We start from the raw sequence: 17,170 nt of genomic DNA, 5'->3' as shown, positions 1-17,170 counted from the left end.
GAACCAAAAGCAAATGCAACAAAAACAATGATAAATAGGTAGGACTTGATTAAACTAAAAAGTTTCTGCACAGCAAAATAAACAATCAGCAGTGTAAAAAGACAATCTATAGAGTGGGAGAAAATCTTCACAATCTATACATCCAACAAAGGACTAATATCTAGAATCTACGAGGAACTCAAACAAATTAGCCACAACAACAAAAACAACAACAAAAAACAATTCCATAAAACAATAAGCTAACGACATAAACAGACCATCCTCAAAATAAGATATACAAATGGCAAATAAACATGAAAAAAATGCTCAACATCACTAATGATTAGGGAAATGCAAATCAAAACCACAATGCAGATGCAAGTCAATACCACATTACTCCTGCAAGAATAGTCATAATCAAAAAATAAAAAAATAGATGTTGGTGATGATGCAGTGAAAAGGGAACACTGGCGGGAATGTAAACTAGTACAAACACCATGGAAAACAGTGTGGAGATTCCTTAAAGAAAAAAAGGAGAACAAATATTTCATCCAGCAGTCCCATTACTGGGATCTACCCAGAGGAAGTCACCATACAAAAAAGATACTTGCACATGCACATGCATGTTCACAGCAGCACAATTCGCAGTTGCAATAATATGGAACCGGCCCAAATGCCCATCAGTCAATGGGTGGATAAAGAAATTGTGATACACACACACACACACACACACGCACACCATTTTATATATATATATATATATATAATTTTTTTTTTTTTTTTTTTTTTTTTTGAGACGGAGTCTCGCTCTGTCGCCCAGGCCGGACTGCGGACTGCAGTGGCGCAATCTCGGCTCACTGCAAGCTCTGCTTCCCGGGTTCACGCCATTCTCCTGCCTCAGCCTCCCGAGTAGCTGGGACTACAGGCGCCCGCCACCGCGCCCGGCTAATTTTTTGTATTTTTAGTAGAGACGGGGTTTCACCTTGTTAGCCAGGATGGTCTCGATCTCCTGACCTCGTGATCCACCCGCCTCGGCCTCCCAAAGTGCTGGGATTACAGGCGTGAGCCACCGCGCCCGGCCATATATATATAATTTTATATTTTCTATATATACATATTTTTTATATATGTACATATATACGTGTATATGTGTATATATGTATAGATGTATATATATACACGTGTATATATATGTGTGTGTGTGTGTGTGTATATATTTACCATGGAATATTATTAAGCCATAAAAAGGAACAAAATAATGACAGTCACAGCAACCTGGATGGAATTGGAGACCATTATTCTAAGTGAAGTAGCTCAGAAGTGGGAAACTAAACATTATATGTTCTCACTCATACGTGGGAAATAAGCTATGAGGATGCAAAGGCATAAGAATGATACAATAGACTTTGGGGACTTGGAATAGATGAGGGGGGCTGAGGGATAAAAGACTACAAATTGGGTACAGTGTATACTGTTGGGGTGATGGGTGCGCCAAAATCTCATAAATCATCACCAAAGAAATTACTCATGTAACCAAACCCTACCTCTTCCCCCAAAACCTATGGAAATAAAAATAAAATTATGTAAAGTATAATAAAATAAAGGTATATTTGGCTGACAGTTCTGCAGGCTGTACAAGAAGCATAGTACTGGCATCTGCTTCTGTCGATGGCCTCAGGAAGTTTTCAATTGTGGCAGAAGGTGAAAAAGGAGCACGTATGTGAATGGCGATAGAAGAGAAGAAAAGGCAGAAAATTAAGGTTGTTGGGTGGGTGCCATGCTCCTTAAACAGCCAGGTATCATGTGAACGAATAGAATGAGAACACACTCATTACCACGTGAAGGGCATCAAGGCTTTTATGAGAGATCCGTGTTCACGACCCAAAAACCTCCCTCTAGGTCCTACCTCCAACACCGGAGATAACATTGCAACATGAGATCTGAAGTGAACAAGCATCCAAACTATATCAGTTACCTACAAAAAACTCACTCCAATTGTAATGATGCACTTACGTTGAATATGAAGGTATGGAAAAAGTTATGTAATGCAAATAAAAACTAACTTCACCTGGAGTAGCTATACTTGTAGTGGATAAACCAGACTTTAAGTTAAAAGCTGTAAAGACAGACAAAGAAGGACACTATGTATAAATAAAGAGTTCAACCCAGGAAGAAGGCATAAGAATTTTAAAGATATATACCCAACGATACAGTACCCAGGTATGCAGAGCAAATGTTATCAGATCTAAAAGGATAGACACCAATACAATAATTGCTGGCGACTTCAATCCCTCACTGAAAGCATTGCACAGTTTATCCAAAGAGAAAATGAACAGAAAATTTCAGATTAAAATTGCACCAGAGGCCAGGCACAATAACTCACATCTGTAATTCCCGCACTTTGGGAGGCTAAGGCAGGTGGATTGGTAGAGAGCTCAGGAGTTTGAGACTAGCCTGGGTAGCATGGCAAAACCCTGTCTCTACAAAAAAAATAAATAAATAAAAAATAAAAAACAGCCAGTGTGGTAGCATGTGCCTAAAGATCCAGCTACCCAGGAGGCTGAGGTGGGAAAATCACCAGAACCCAGGGAGATAGAGGCTCCATAGAGCCCTGATGGCACCCATGCACGCCCTCCTGGGCAACAGAGCGAGACTGTATCTCAAAAACAATAATTGCACCACAGACTGAACGGACTCAACAGACACTTACAGAACACTTCGCCAAACAGCAGCAGATTGCACATTCTTTTTAACAGCACAATGAACATCCTCCAGAATTTAATATATTTGGACACAAAAAAGTCTCGAAATTATAAAAATATCAAAGCCATATCAAGTATCATTTCCAAACACAATGAAATAAACTAGAAACCCTAGAGGATGGAATATTTGAAACAATGCAAATATATGAAAATTAAACAACATGCTTCTGTGTGACCATTGGATAAAGGAATAACTTAAAATGAAACTTTAAAAATTTATTGAAATAAATAAAAATAGAAATACAATATAGCAAAAGCTACTGGTTACAGCTAAAGCAATATTAAGAGAAAAGTTTCTAGCAATAAACACCTAAATCAAAAAAGTAGAACGATTTCTCAAAAACCACCCACCTATGTGTCTTAAGAACTAGAGAAGCAAGAACAAACAGAATTCATAATTGTAGAAAAAATAGACAGTAAATATCAGAGCAGAATTTTAAAATACAGAAAAAAAAATCTATAAAGGATCAGCAAGGCCGGGCGCGGTGACTCATGACTGTAATCCCAGCTTTTTGGGAGGCCGAGGGGGGCGGATCATGAGGTCAGGTGATTGAGACCATCTTGGCCAACATGGTGAAACCCCGTCTCTACCAAAATACAAAAAATTAGCCAGGCGTGGTGGCACACGCCTATATTCCCAGCTACTTGGGAGGCTGAGGCAGGGGAATCCCTCGAATCTGGGAGGCCGAGGTTGCAGTGAGCCGAGATCGCGCCACTGTACTCCAGCCTGGCAACAGAACAAGACTCCATCTCCAAAAATAAATAAGTAATAACAAAAGGGATCAGCAAAACAGTTGTTTTCTTGAAAATGTAAAAAAGCAAGAAGGCATTATCTAGATTAACTACAAATGAAAAGAGAAAATGCCCATATACATACAATCAGAAATGAAAAAAGAGACATCACAATGATACCACAAAAATACAAAAGATCATTAGAGGGTATTATGAACAACTATATGCTAGAGAAAATTCAAGAACCTAGAGGAAATGGATAAATTCATGAACACATGCAAACTACCAAGACTGAACCAAGAAGAAGTAGAAAGCCTAAACAGAACAATGAATAACAGGAGATAATAATAATGAAAAGTCTCCCATCACAGAAATGTTCAGGACCTGATGGTTTCACAGTTGTGTTCTACTTAACTTAAAAAAAAATCATGAAAACAGATTATTGTTAAACTATTCAAAAAATTGAAGAAAAATTATTTAATTATAATTTTAATATTATTTTTAAAATTTCAACTTTTATTTCAGGTACAGGGGGTACATATGCAAGTTTTTTTACATGGGCATATTGTGTGATGCTGAGGTTTGGGGTATGGATCCCCTCACCCAGGGAGTTAGCATAATACCCAATAGTCAGTCTTTCAACCCATGCACCTCTCTCTCCCTCCCCACTCCAGCAGTTCACAGTGCCTATTGTTTCCATGGTCATGTCCACATGTGCTCAACCTTTAGCACTCACTTTCAAGTGAGAACATGTGATATTTTGTTTCCTTTTTCTGTGTTAACTTGTTTACGACTATGACCTCCAGCTGCATCCATGTTGCTGCAAAGGACATGATTTTGTTTCTTTTGTGACAGAGTCTCACTCTCTCACCAGGCAGGAGTGCAGTGACGCGATCTCAGCTTACTGCAACCTCTAAGTCCCTGGTTCAAGTGATTCTCCTGCCTCAGCCTCCCGGGTAGCTGGGATTACAGGCATGTGCCACTATGCCCAGCTAAATTTTGTATTTTTAGCAGAGAGGGGGTTTCACTATATTGGCCAGGATGATCTTGATCTCCTGACCTCATGATCTGTCTGCCTCAGCCTCCCAAAGTGCTGGGATTATAGGTGTGAGCCACCACACTTTTTTTTATGAATGTGTGGTATTTTATGATTTTATATTGCATACATACCATTTTATTCATCTAATACATCATTGATTGGCACCTAGATTGATTCCATATCTTTGCTGTTGTGAATAGTGTGGCAAGAGGCATGAGTGCATGTGCATTTTTTGGTAGAATGATTTATTTTACTTTGGCTATATACCTAATGATGGGATTGCTGGGTCAAACAGTAGCTCTGTTTCAAGTTCTTTGAGAATTCTCTAAACTGCTTTGCACAGTGCTGAACTAATTTACATTTCCACCACCCATGTATGTGTTCCCTTTTCTTCACTTCCCACCCAGCAGCTGTTTTTTGTTTAACTTTTTTCATATTAGCTATTATGACTGGTCTGAGATGGTATTTCATTGTTGTTTTTATTTGCATTTCTCTGATAATTAATGATGTTGGAAATTTTTTTCATGTCTGTTGGCCACTGAGATTGACAGGCTTACAAGTGTCTTAGTCCAGCAGTTTTCGGTAACAGGCTATCCACTTTCATTTTCTCTTCCTCACATGCCCCATTTCTGGGTTGTCCATCCCAACCAACAGTTACTGCTGGAGCTGAATCCACTAGCCCGCTTCCATGGGCTGTCAGGAACACATTGCAAGGGTGACACACACGATGATCCATCTCTGCAGAGCCAACTCTCCTTCTCCAGAGATTCATCCAAGAAACAATTTTGACTATACCTGAGCTCTGTGACATCTGAGGACATGGTTTGTATTACTGTGCAAGACAAACAGTGAGAGGAAGTCAATGTGAGTCCAGACATAAACCTTCCTGCTGAGAACAATGGAAAGCTTTTCTTCTAAGATAAGGAATAAGAAAAGAATGCCCAGTCTTAATAATTCTAATCAGCATATTGATGATAGTTTTAACCATAGAAATTTGAGAAAGAAAAAAATAGTAAAAGGCATACAAATTGAGGGGAATAAGTTAAATTGTTTCTGTTTACAGACAATATAACTTTATAAATTCCAAAAAAATAAAAAATTCTGAAAAAACAGCCACTGAAAACTAACAAACAAATTTAGTAACATTGCAGTATACAAAATTTATATGGAAAACTCAGTAGTGTTACTAAAAACTAAAAATTAACTATTTAAAAATCATAAGACAATGTCAGTTGCATTTACAATATTAAATAACTTACTTAGTGGCCATGCACAGTAGTTTACACCTGTAATTCTTGTACTTTGGGAGGTAGGGGAGAATCACTTGAGGCTAGGAGTTTGAGACCAGCCTGGGCAACACAGCAAGACCAATATCTATTTCTAAAAATCACTTAGAAAAAATGTTGGTCAAATAAGTGAAAATCTGTGCATTGAAGACTATATGACATTGATGAAATAAATAAATCTATATGCAAATATATGGGAAACTATTCCATATTCACAGATTGAAGATAATAATACTGTTAACATGTCTATACTACCCAAAGCAATCTACAGATCCAAAGCAATTTCTATACAAATGACATTTTCAACAAACTACTTTTTAAATGATAAAATTGAATCACAAAAGACCCCAGATGTCCAAAGTAACCTTGAATACAAACATCAAAGCGGGGGGAGGTTTCCTAGTACCTGAACTGCAAATATGCTATGAAACTACAATAATAAAACTGCATGCTGCTGACTTTCTAAATAAACTTTAATATTCTGAATTGAAGTTATTTGACAATTTCTTCTATCATTTTATCTTTACTAAAGTGTTGCATGAGTGTTTATCTAGACAGATAATGTGCAAAGAGTCTTCCTGGGTGGTAAAATCCCATAAGCGTCTCCAGGAGCTCCGAGCTCTCTCTAGGCTTCTCAGTATGTTCAGGTTCAAGAGACAGAAAGAATTCTCTCAGCCCTTCACTGCTTTTTGCCCTCTTGACGGTCAGAAGTCCAGAACATGCTTTGTGGGGACATAATAGAGGGGACCAAAATAGACACTTTCAGCAAACCCACTATAACAAGTTCTGCTGCCCATGGGCATCTTCTCCAGGTACATGTTGGTCGCCAGACCCTCAGGCTCACCTACACCATGTGGAGGAGGACCTCTACCCACACTCATTTCAGCACAACTACCGTGTAGCTCAGCATCAGTAGGTCACACTACAATACATTAAACATCACTCAGCTAATTACTTATTGAGGTTTTCATTTGTCCATATGCTATCAATATTGGGCAGTTTCAAATGACAACCTAGAGGACTTAATGATAGTTAAATTTATGTCTTCTATTATGGAAAAACATCCCTTACCTAATGACAGGTTCAGCTGTTTTTGCCAAGATGGTGCTCTTCCCTGGCCTGCTAGTCTCCTACATGAGAAGCATCAATGAACTGGGCAGCACCACACACTTGTCAAGTGATCACTGGGAATGATGTCAGCTACAGAGGATGGGGTAGGGTTGCTCATACCTATGCTCCTTACTTCTAGGACACATCAGGTGTCTATGGATTTAGAGCATGTCTGCACCCTGGTGGACTGCACACTTTACCCAGGGAGAAAGGTCTCTGAGTGTGGGTGGCAAGCCACCTAGGTGCCAAGGTAAGAGACCGAGGGCACAAGCTGTTCCAGTATAATAAAATATATAAAATAAGAATAGTTATACTAGATATAGATCATAGATATGATTATATATGAATATCATTAATCATTAGTTTATAGCAATTACTCTTTATCCCAATGTTATTAATAATCCTCGCTCTATAATCATAACCTAGGAAAAACCAAGCCATACAGAGATAGGAGTGGAAGGGACATGGTGAGAAGTGACCAGAAGACAAGACTGCGAGCCTTCTGTTATGCCCGGACATGGCCACCAGAGGGCTCCTTGGTCTAGCGGTAACACCAGCTTCTGGGAAGATGCCCGTTGCCAAGCAGACCGTGGTCTAGCGGTAGCGTCAGTGTCAAGGAAAAACACCCGCTACTTAGCAGACCAGGACAGGGAGTCTCCCTTTCCCCAGGGGAGTTTAGAGAAGACTCTCCTCCTCCACCTCTTGTGTAGGGCATCAGTCAGGCCCACCTGAGTTATCTGGAGGCCTAATCATCTCCCTCTGATGCTGTGCTTCAGTGGTCACTCTCCTAGTCTGCTATCATGTTCCATCCTGTATACCTGGCTCTGCCTTTTAGATAACAGTAGCAAAATTAGTGACAGTACTAAAAGTCTCTGATATGCAGAAATAATGGCGTAAGCTGTCTGTCTCTCTCCCTCTCTCTCTCTCTCTGCCTCAGCTGTCAGGCAGGAAAGGACCCCTGTCCAGTGGACACGTGACCCACTTGACCTTACCTATCTCATTGGAGATGACTCACACTCTTTACCCTGCCCCTTTTGCTTTGTGTCCAATAAATATCAGTGCAGCCAGACATTCGGGGCCACTACCGGTCTCCATGTCTTGGTGGTAGTGGTCCCCTGGGCCCAGCTGTCTTTTATCTCTTTGTCTTGTGTCTTTATTTCTACAATCTCTCATCTCCACACACAGGGAGAAAAACCCACCGACCCTGTGGGGCTCGTCCCTACATCTGAGCTTCTCAATGGAGGTCTACTTCTCTATGAGACTAGCACCTTCTGTGGAGTCTCATGCTGAATGTCTCCTTCTTGATTATGGTCATTGGTTATGCAGTGCTGTAATTAGAAACCCTTACAGAATAAACTACAAAACAAGAATGATACTACCTTCTTCAGACATGACAATTCTACCTAATGTGCACAACTGGACCTATTGAAATCTTAGCCAGGAGAGGATGCAGGCATAAAGCAGATGATTTTCCGATTGTTCCACCCTACCGGGTTATATTGAACAGTGGACACAGGATTCAACAGGTACCGATTATTAATCCAGTGAGGAAATTATAGAATAGTCCCAAGTCTAGGCAGAGAAGAGTAGCTGAAGACAGTACTTTCCCTGCAGCTCTGAGATTCACTAAAATGTCCAGCTCTGTCCCTCACTCGTGAATATCACAGACTAAAGGACACCCTTCCCACAGCATTGGCTCTCCATGAAGATTTGAAATTGATGCCCAGGCCTCAGGGTCTGCTGACAGAGCTGTGACAGTGGGAGTGGAACTCACACAGAGCAAAACAGAGTGTGTTGCATAATAAGGCTGTACAACATTTTCATAATGGAGGGAATCTCTTGGTCCCAGGAAGATGACAATTTAATATGTCTCAGGCCTGTGGAGCTCTCTTTAGGAGCTTTGTGTGTGGCTTCTTTGTATACTCTGGCTCCAGGAACTCCAGTGAGGGAAGAGATTCGTCACCTCCTGTGCGAAGGGGGCTGAAGCGAGGAAGACAAGTGGCCTGGCTTCCACAGAACCCATAAGCTAAAACACTCCGAGTTCCCTTGACTGCAAGAAATGCAGCTGTCATCACGGTTTCAAGTGCCAGAGTCTTTAATGATTATGTTTCAACTCATGAGAGTGCCAGGAAAATTCCACCAGTATGAACTACTCAAATATGTCATTTTGTAACATTACTTCATTGCTTGCTCTCATATCCTCCATGTTTCTGAAAAAGCAAAGTTTCCATGCTTTATCATCTGCACCAATGAGGCCATATTTAAGCTATATTTTCATATGAACGTCTCTTGAAGATTTTAAAATAGAACAAATGTTGAACAATATGCTTAAAAGAAAAAAAATAAAGAAAGCAGTCTATGTTGACTCATGTGACATTGATAATGTATATTAGATTATATTGGTTGCTTATTTAGTTGGTCATGGGAGAAGAGCCTTCTTTCCAGCCAAAGAATACTAAGAACTCCCTCTTCTAATGACGAATTTCAGCTGATCTTGCTGAGAATATTTAGCAAGAAGACAGAAACAGAGACTCCTAAAGGGAGCTCCAGAGTCCTGAGATACATTTAAGTTTTCATTTTCCTGGAACCCAGAGATTCCCCACTGTTCTACAAGACAAGACCCCATTCTATGACCCTGTCTGAGGAGAGCTCAGGGGCAGTGAGCTCCCCCTCACATTACCCCTTCACCCTATGCCCTTGGGGCTCTGTCCATGCAAATAAGTCCCGGGTTCAAGAACGAATAGAGGCAGGGCTGTGAGTGTTATGCTGTGTGCTGGCTCTGAGCTGGGGTCTCTAGTAGCACTCTCCACATCCATAGATACATGGCCCCTCCGCTACTCCTTCTCTGCCTGCTGGCTGCCCTCTGTGGTGAGTTACTCATGATTTCATACGTGGGGAGACACGGGATGAGGCAAATGTGTCTGTGACTCACAGATGTTCTCTATTCTCAGGGGTTCACAGTGAGGACCACCTTGTGCAATGGGAGGAAGAAGTAGTGGTCCCCTTGGTCATGCTCAGCCTCACCTATGCCGCCTATGCACATTCAATTTCTGAACATTCTGTTTCCTGGATCCACCATCTCCCATCAAAAGGTCTTCAGTGTGTTGGTGTGATATGGGTTAAGGGAAACACTAAGCCCCAACCTTCAGGGCAGAGCTAGCATCTCCAGAAACACATAGTAAAAAACAAGAAAACTTACAGCTGAGAAGTGTGATGGCTGGGGAGGCAGGCGTGTATTACTGTGCTCAAGGCACTGTGACTCGAATCCAGAGTGAACTCAGACACAAACCTGCCCTGCAGGGGTTCTTGGGACCACAAGGGGAAGGATCAGGTCACCAGGGTGTACTTAGGAACCACTGAACTGGGTCAGGCACAGGAGGTGGGGGTCAGGGCTCCTCCCCAGGGAAGGGCTTTTAATCTCCATGCCTTGTAAACCTCTGACAAGCCAGGCAGACACAGACATATTTTTAAACTATGGAAACAGATGTACCTTTCATTTTGGAGGAAAAAGATCATAAGTGTGAAAGCAAAACTTACCAAGGGCCAGGTACTGGAATAACTGTAATCTACATAATCACTCTAAGAATTCTAAGAATTTACAAGTGCAATCATCCTCATTTCATAAACTCACCTTAAATAAGAGCTTTCTAACTGATCCCATATATTCTGATTTTGTTTATTTCTTCAACACTTTATTATCTTCAAGGCATTTCACTGATGTCAATTTTAGAAGAATCATATGCAAACAGCCTCTCGTGGTGGTTGAAAGCCCACAGCCTCGCCAGTCCTGTGGATATTTCTGGATGTTCTCAGAGTCTCCATTGTCTGTAGAGAAGAATTGTCCCAATAGTTATTTCACTTTTGTCTTCCACAAAGTTGGAAAGATGGGGATCACTCAGGGGAATCGAGATCAACAAACAGAAAGCCTGAACCCACCATATACAAGATAGGATGTATTTTTTTAGGAATATATTAATTCCCAGACCCTCAGGCTCACATACCCCATGTGGAGGGGAACACACATCCACTCCTTCACTCAAGCCAAGCTGGCCATGCAGCTCAGCTTCTGCAGGCTCAGGACTGCAAGCTCTCCAGTGTGGGAGTGGAGCTAATGGGAGGTGAGGCCAAGTCTCTGCCCTCACAGAGTCTCATGATGAAGATCTGATGAAATATTTCCACAGTAACATTTCTTTGGATATATAAATGTAGAATATATTTTGAAATAATGAATGATGTATCTTCTGATGGATTCATGTTGGGGAGGCAATAGAGGAAAAATAAAGGTAATTTTAAATTTCTGCTCCCAGCTACAGCACTTGATTTTGATTTAGTGCATGACTGTTTGAAATTTTTTGATGCAGTCAACTTCAGCAGCCCAGACCTGGAAGCCCAGCCAATAAATGCTCCAGATTGGGAAATTTAAACTGATGGGAGCTGTTTCATGGAGGAGGAAAAATGCTGAGCCAGTTGTGCGATCATAACTATTGACTGGATAATAGAAGCCTGTGCCCTTTCTGCCAGTACCTCTGGTCCGAAACCTGAGCTAATCACCCTCACCAAGTTGAGTAAACATTGACACCTATACTAAGTACACCTTCATGGTGGTGCATGCTCATGGGGCCATCTGGAAAGAAAGAGGCCTTGTCTCATCAGGAAATAAGGACATTAAACACCCAATAGAAATGGTGTTAAACTACTAGAGGTGTGTTCTCATCCTTCTCATCCTCCATTATGCATTGCCCTGAGCACCCAAAAGATGACTCATTGGCACCTAAAGGAAATCAGACTGCAGAAAAGGCTGAGAAGTGAGCAGTGCAGGATGCACACCTGCTATGAGCTTTGATTCCACATCTGGAGTTTCCATAGTTCAAACTCCATTATACTAAATAGACAAGAAGCATGCCTGCGACTGGGGATTTGGTAAAACAGATCCAGATTTATTCTGAAAAACTAATGCTTATGGATTATTCTTACTCTCCGAGGCCCTGGTCTACAATTTTAAAACATTTACATGAGGGCACACACTCCAAATGAGATTCCCTTGCAGACTTTGTATGACCATGTGTCAGAATGGTCAGAAAACTGTTCAGAAAGTCACATACGAGTGTGTTTTGTGTGCCAAAAATATCTTTGAGACTGAACAAAATCTTTGCAACGAAGAGGTACAACACAGAGAACTGTGACTCTTGGAAGATTGGCAAGTGGATTCACTCACATGCCTGTGGCCAGTGGCAACTATAAATTCCTCCTGATTGTTCTAGATATTGTTTCAAGATGGGTAGAAGCATATCTCACCAAGTCCCAAAGAGCCACATGACTGGCTAAGGCATAATTCAAGGAAATCGTTGCCAGGTTTGGACTCCCATGCACTATACACAGTGACAACGATCTTTCTTTTATTTCAGAGTTTACTCAAAAGGTAAGTCAAGCACTGCAAATCGAATGGAAACCACAGTCATCATGGAGACCACAGTCAGCAGTAAAGAAATAAAAGATAACACCTTGAAGAAGACAATAGCCAAACTCAGGCAGGAAATTGACCTGCGTTGGGATAGATTTTTTCTTATTGCCTTGTTCTGGGGCAGAACGGTGCCCTGAAGTGGGCTTGGGAAAAGTCTCTTTGAAATTATATATAGGAGGCCCTTCCAGACCTCTTGCCAGTAACAGCACCTTTAGAGCTGGTAAAAGAGCCCAGAGTTAAACCATATGTGCAGATTGGTGCAGACCTTGCTAACTGCACATCAGCTTGCTATTTCCAGGCCTGTTTATTCCACAGTGAGCCTCTTCACCCCTTCCATCCAAGAGACAAGATGCCACTACAGTCTTGTAAAAGTCAAAAACAAGATCAGCAGCTGACTGAAAGGTGGAACAGACCCCATGATGTGCTACTGATTAACCTTTGTTCAGTTAAGTTATCCAATGTAAAGCCATGGGTGCATCGCTGTTGGAAAAAACCTGTCCCACCTCAATTTGACCCCAGATAACAGACTACCTGGTCACATAAGCCTAAGGAAAACCTGAAGTTGCTGATAAAGAGGAGACAAGAAGACAGATAGGTAATACCCTTCTGTTAATATAAAATTCTTAATGAGTTCTATAGTTATAAGTACATTATTTCTCCTTATTAAAACTAATCTTTTTTGCTGAATGGGTGGAAGATGGTGGCTTCCCTGCAAAAGAAAACATAGTTGGTTCTGTAAAGAGTTTGCCCATTTCTTCCACTATAGGCCTGCCCTGGCATAATACAAGCTCCCAACGTAAGAATTTATGATTTTCCATCCATTGGAGAAGCCATCTTTTCCATCTATTATAAAAACAGAAGACACTTCATTAATATCACTCCCACTATAGGCTATGCCATATCCAGTGAGGTAGGATGGCTGACAGTGGTGCGAATCCAAGTAATTGGTCAAGCACTGCTATGTGTGAAGAAACACCACAGCATACTCTACACTGTCACTCATGATATGGAATTGTTGCCTCCTTAGCAATGTAACTGAGCCCTTAATATGTGGCTGGGATGACAAGGCAATGCCAGCCTGCAGAGTGGAATCTGTTCTTCCCTCTGGGGTTAGCTACAGCCTGTGGCACTCATGGCTGGCCCTACTTTCCTTACAACTGGACTAAAAGAAGCAACTGGATATGACCTTATATCCCAGGATGTAACTGTCCAAAGTGCATTCTCTTTATGTCAACTGGAAAAGTGTGAAAGACAGACACTACTGACATAAACAGACATCCTAGTTGTTCTGCCCACTAGCCAGCTCTTCCCCCCAGGTGGCAGTCATAGATTTAGAATTGCAAGTAGAGGCCCTGGCTAAGCAAACCACCAGTCCCTTTAACAACACCTACCATGCCATCATCATTCTTACTGAAGAAACCTCACAGATTTGACAAGTGACACTATGAAGCTATATGACCCTAGGTATTGCAACTACAGCCAAAGGTAACACTTGTGTATTAATGAACACTGAATGTTGCATATATATACAAGATTAGTCCCACAATATAACTCAAGCTATGCAAGCATTAGATACCCATATTTCTGCTAGAGATGGATGCCCTCTCTCAGAACCCCATGACAGCATGGTTTAGTTGACTTCCTAACACATGGAAGAGTTTCATATATAGTAGAGCTGGTATTCTGTTCATTGCTATCTTCAATTGCTATGGATTTTATTGCTATCTTGCACTTTAAGTGAGAATGTAATACTGACCTTCTCAAAAACTCCTAGGTCCTTGCACCATAATGCTCCAACAAACACCTACTGTAATTCCGGAGACTCCAGAATATTTCCAACTCCAGTTTAATGGATTCCCTTCCAATACATACAACCTATGCCCTTTCTAAAGAAGTAGCCAGAATGACTATGACACATGTTTTCCATAGAAACGAAATGGAATTTGACAGTGGGGAATGATATACAGGCAGCTTAATTTCAAAATGCATTTTAAACTTAGTATTTGAGGTTTTAATATTATTTTTTATACTCCCTGAAACCTGAAATTTCACACTTACATTTTAATTCAGACTTAATAGCAACAAATAACCAGAACACATGAATTGCCTGTAATCTCTATACCTTGCATTGTAAGCCACATTTCAAGTGTAACCTTACTTGTCAGCACAGTATGTTTACCACAGGCATAATTGCTTGTCCTGACTGTCCAGAAGGCAGGGTGGTATTAAGTATGCGGCCTCTGGAGCTGGGAAGTCTGGCTTTGTATACCGTCTCTGCCACTGCTAACTGGAGGACAATGGGCCAGTTACTTCCTGTACCCCAGTTTTCTCATATGTAAAGTAGGGTTGTTGTAAGAATGAAATTAGTTAATATTTAGTACCTAACAACTAATAGGCATTACATGGTAGCTATTGGTATTGCTATCGTCAGAGAACACACAGGAGTCCATTGTTATTTTTACCCTCCCCCTCCAAACAAAATGTGTAAGACACTAGACATGGTAGCTCTGTAACGGGGTTCGTCATGTATTAAACTGTGTACCCAAATGATATGTCAAAGTCCTGACAACCAGCACTTCAGAACACGTCCTTATTTGGAAATATGGTAGCTGGAGATGTTATTAGTGAAGATGAGGTCTTACTTGAGCAGGGCAGGCCCTCAATGTGGGAAGATGGGTGTCTTTCTAAGTACAAGGAAATTTGGACACAGAGACAGAGACATACAGTGTGCCATATGACAGCAGAGGCAAAGATCAGAGTGGTGCAGCAGTAAACCAATGCATGTCCGGGATTACCAGTCACCTCCACAAGTGAGGAAAGGGCAAGGAAGAATTCTCCTGAGTCTCAGAGGGAGTGCAGCCCAGCTCACACTTGATTTTGGACTTCTAGTCTCTAGAACTGTGAGAGAATACAGTCCTGTCATTTTTAAGCCACCCAGTTTGTAGTATTTCATTTTGGCAGCCCTAGGATATTCATACAGAATTCTTCACCCAAAAGGAAGCACTCTTTCACACAAACAGTCAAAGTCCTGGATGACAGACAACCTGGAGACTGCAAACCTCCAAGGAATCAAAGGAAGTTCTATAAATTCTAGGGGCCCCATCTTTCAAAGGCTGCTCCTCAAGTCCACACCCACACTTTGGAAGGAGAATCCTGCTCTTGGACATGGGATCCTTAGTGAGCCAACTGCCAATAATCCAACATCGTCATGAATTAAAGATCTCTGACATTTCCTCTTCACCAAGGGGAATTCTGTCAAGTAGTAAGTAAAACCCTTCTTCAGTAATCTCCACACCAAACAGTTCTGCATGGCTTGGGACGCCTCAGGAAACTTATAATCATGGCAGAAGAAAAAGGGGAAGCAAGGCAGTCATACATGGTGGCAGAAGAGAGGTTAAACTTTTCTGTCTCTCTTGGGTGTAAAGATATAATCTTGAGGCAAACAGCAGAATCAATTTTCTTACGCCTTGAAATAGACTCCACCTTTCTCCCTTTCACCATAAATATTCCCTTCACATTAATCTAACTTTATGTTTGCATCGAACTATGTGCCTTTTTGGAAGTTCCGGAAGCTAATTTGAGACAGATAGACAAAGTCGGGAGACCCTGATGCAGAATTCCAGAGGTGACTTCAATGTTGCTAGTTAACAACCCAGGCATTGCCCAGATGATGCCAGCCCAAGATCTAGGTGGACTGGGATGCCAGAGAGCCGCCAGAACAAGACGCACAGACCTGGTTCTCAGCCCAAATCTTGCATGCCTTTCTTACCAACTTTTCCTTTTTTAAACCCCTGCCTTTCCTTCAAAATTCAAGTGGTTGCTTGGGATGGGAATGCGGTCACTTCCCCTTTACCATTATGGTTAATACAATAATCTTTGTACCAGATCTCTCTCTTGTTAATTGGATCCTGCAGGTGGCAGATTCCGGACCAGAGTGAGGTTAGAAACTGAATGCACATACTGGGTGGTTCACAGACACGGTGTTCTGTGAAGTTTATGGGTGGATTCCTGGGGAAGCCTGCAAGCCTGTTAGTGATTAGCAGAACCGCATCCAGCTACTGGGATCTGCACGCCAGGTGCCGTGAGCCCCTCACCATGTTCCCTGGTCCCAGCTGCCCGCGGATGGTTCAGCCTTGACAACGGGCTCGGTGTTCTGGGTGGTGGGAGAGCAAGGGGGCCCCTTGGGCAGCGTGCTACAGGGCTGTGAATCCAGGGGCCCACCCGGTGTTCCCTGTGGAGTCACTGAGGGAATGAGGGGCTTCTCAGGGCACAGAGCTGTGCCGCCTTTGTGCAGTGGTGGCTGAATACAGTGACACTGGGCGCGTGGTGAGAAGCGGGGCAAGGTCAGTTCACTGGACCCTCCGCCCTGAGCCTCAGATGAGTCGGGGGTCCCCAGACAGGCCCGGCCTCTGCCCTGCGGCGGACACTGGAGCCTTTGCTGTGGCTGCCACCGAGGAGCCTTGACCTCAAAGCAGCGGGAACCTCTCTACCCACCTCGGAAACCTGAAGGCAGCGGCGGCCTCTCCCAGCCAGGACCTCGCCGGCATCCGGGTCTCCAGGCCCAACCCTGTACCACATAAAGGAAGTCCCCGCTGAGCTACCGGCGGGACACAGCGCCGTTGGGTGGGCGGGCGCGGCGGGGCGGGAAGCACGGAGCAGCTGCCACAGAGATGCGCGGGGGCTGTCGGGAAGTGGGCGGTCCGGGAGGCGCGGGGCTGATGGGACGTGGGCGGTCCGGGGACGCGCGGGGGATGGCGGGACGTCGGCGATCGGAGATGCCAGGGGGCAGCTGGGACGTGGG

The 17,170-nt window shown here is 42.5% G+C and overlaps 1 long non-coding RNA gene, 2 pseudogenes and 1 further gene across 1 annotated transcript; 3 read left to right on the top strand and 1 right to left on the bottom strand.

The window, feature by feature from the left end:
* Window positions 1-17,170, top strand: part of IGH (immunoglobulin heavy locus) — a 1,293,408-nt gene that overhangs the window by 380,344 nt on the left and 895,894 nt on the right.
* LINC00221 (long intergenic non-protein coding RNA 221) lies at window positions 3,986-17,062 on the bottom strand. The gene is made up of 3 exons (NR_027457.2): window positions 16,864-17,062; window positions 10,540-10,733; window positions 3,986-5,344 (listed from the first exon to the last, which is right to left on the bottom strand). It is a non-coding gene; the product is annotated as a long intergenic non-protein coding RNA 221 (long non-coding RNA).
* IGHVII-44-2 (immunoglobulin heavy variable (II)-44-2 (pseudogene)) lies at window positions 5,120-5,356 on the top strand (annotated as a pseudogene). The gene is given in 1 exon segment: window positions 5,120-5,356. A coding segment is annotated over 1 exon segment (237 nt).
* On the top strand, window positions 9,731-10,159 carry IGHVIV-44-1 (immunoglobulin heavy variable (IV)-44-1 (pseudogene); annotated as a pseudogene). The gene is given in 2 exon segments: window positions 9,731-9,776; window positions 9,860-10,159. Coding segments are annotated over 2 exon segments (346 nt in total).

This window comes from Homo sapiens, chromosome 14 (assembly GCF_000001405.40).
Source record: "Homo sapiens chromosome 14, GRCh38.p14 Primary Assembly".
Taxonomy (NCBI): Eukaryota; Metazoa; Chordata; class Mammalia; order Primates; family Hominidae; genus Homo; species Homo sapiens.
This window is presented reverse-complemented; position numbering and strand designations above follow the sequence as displayed.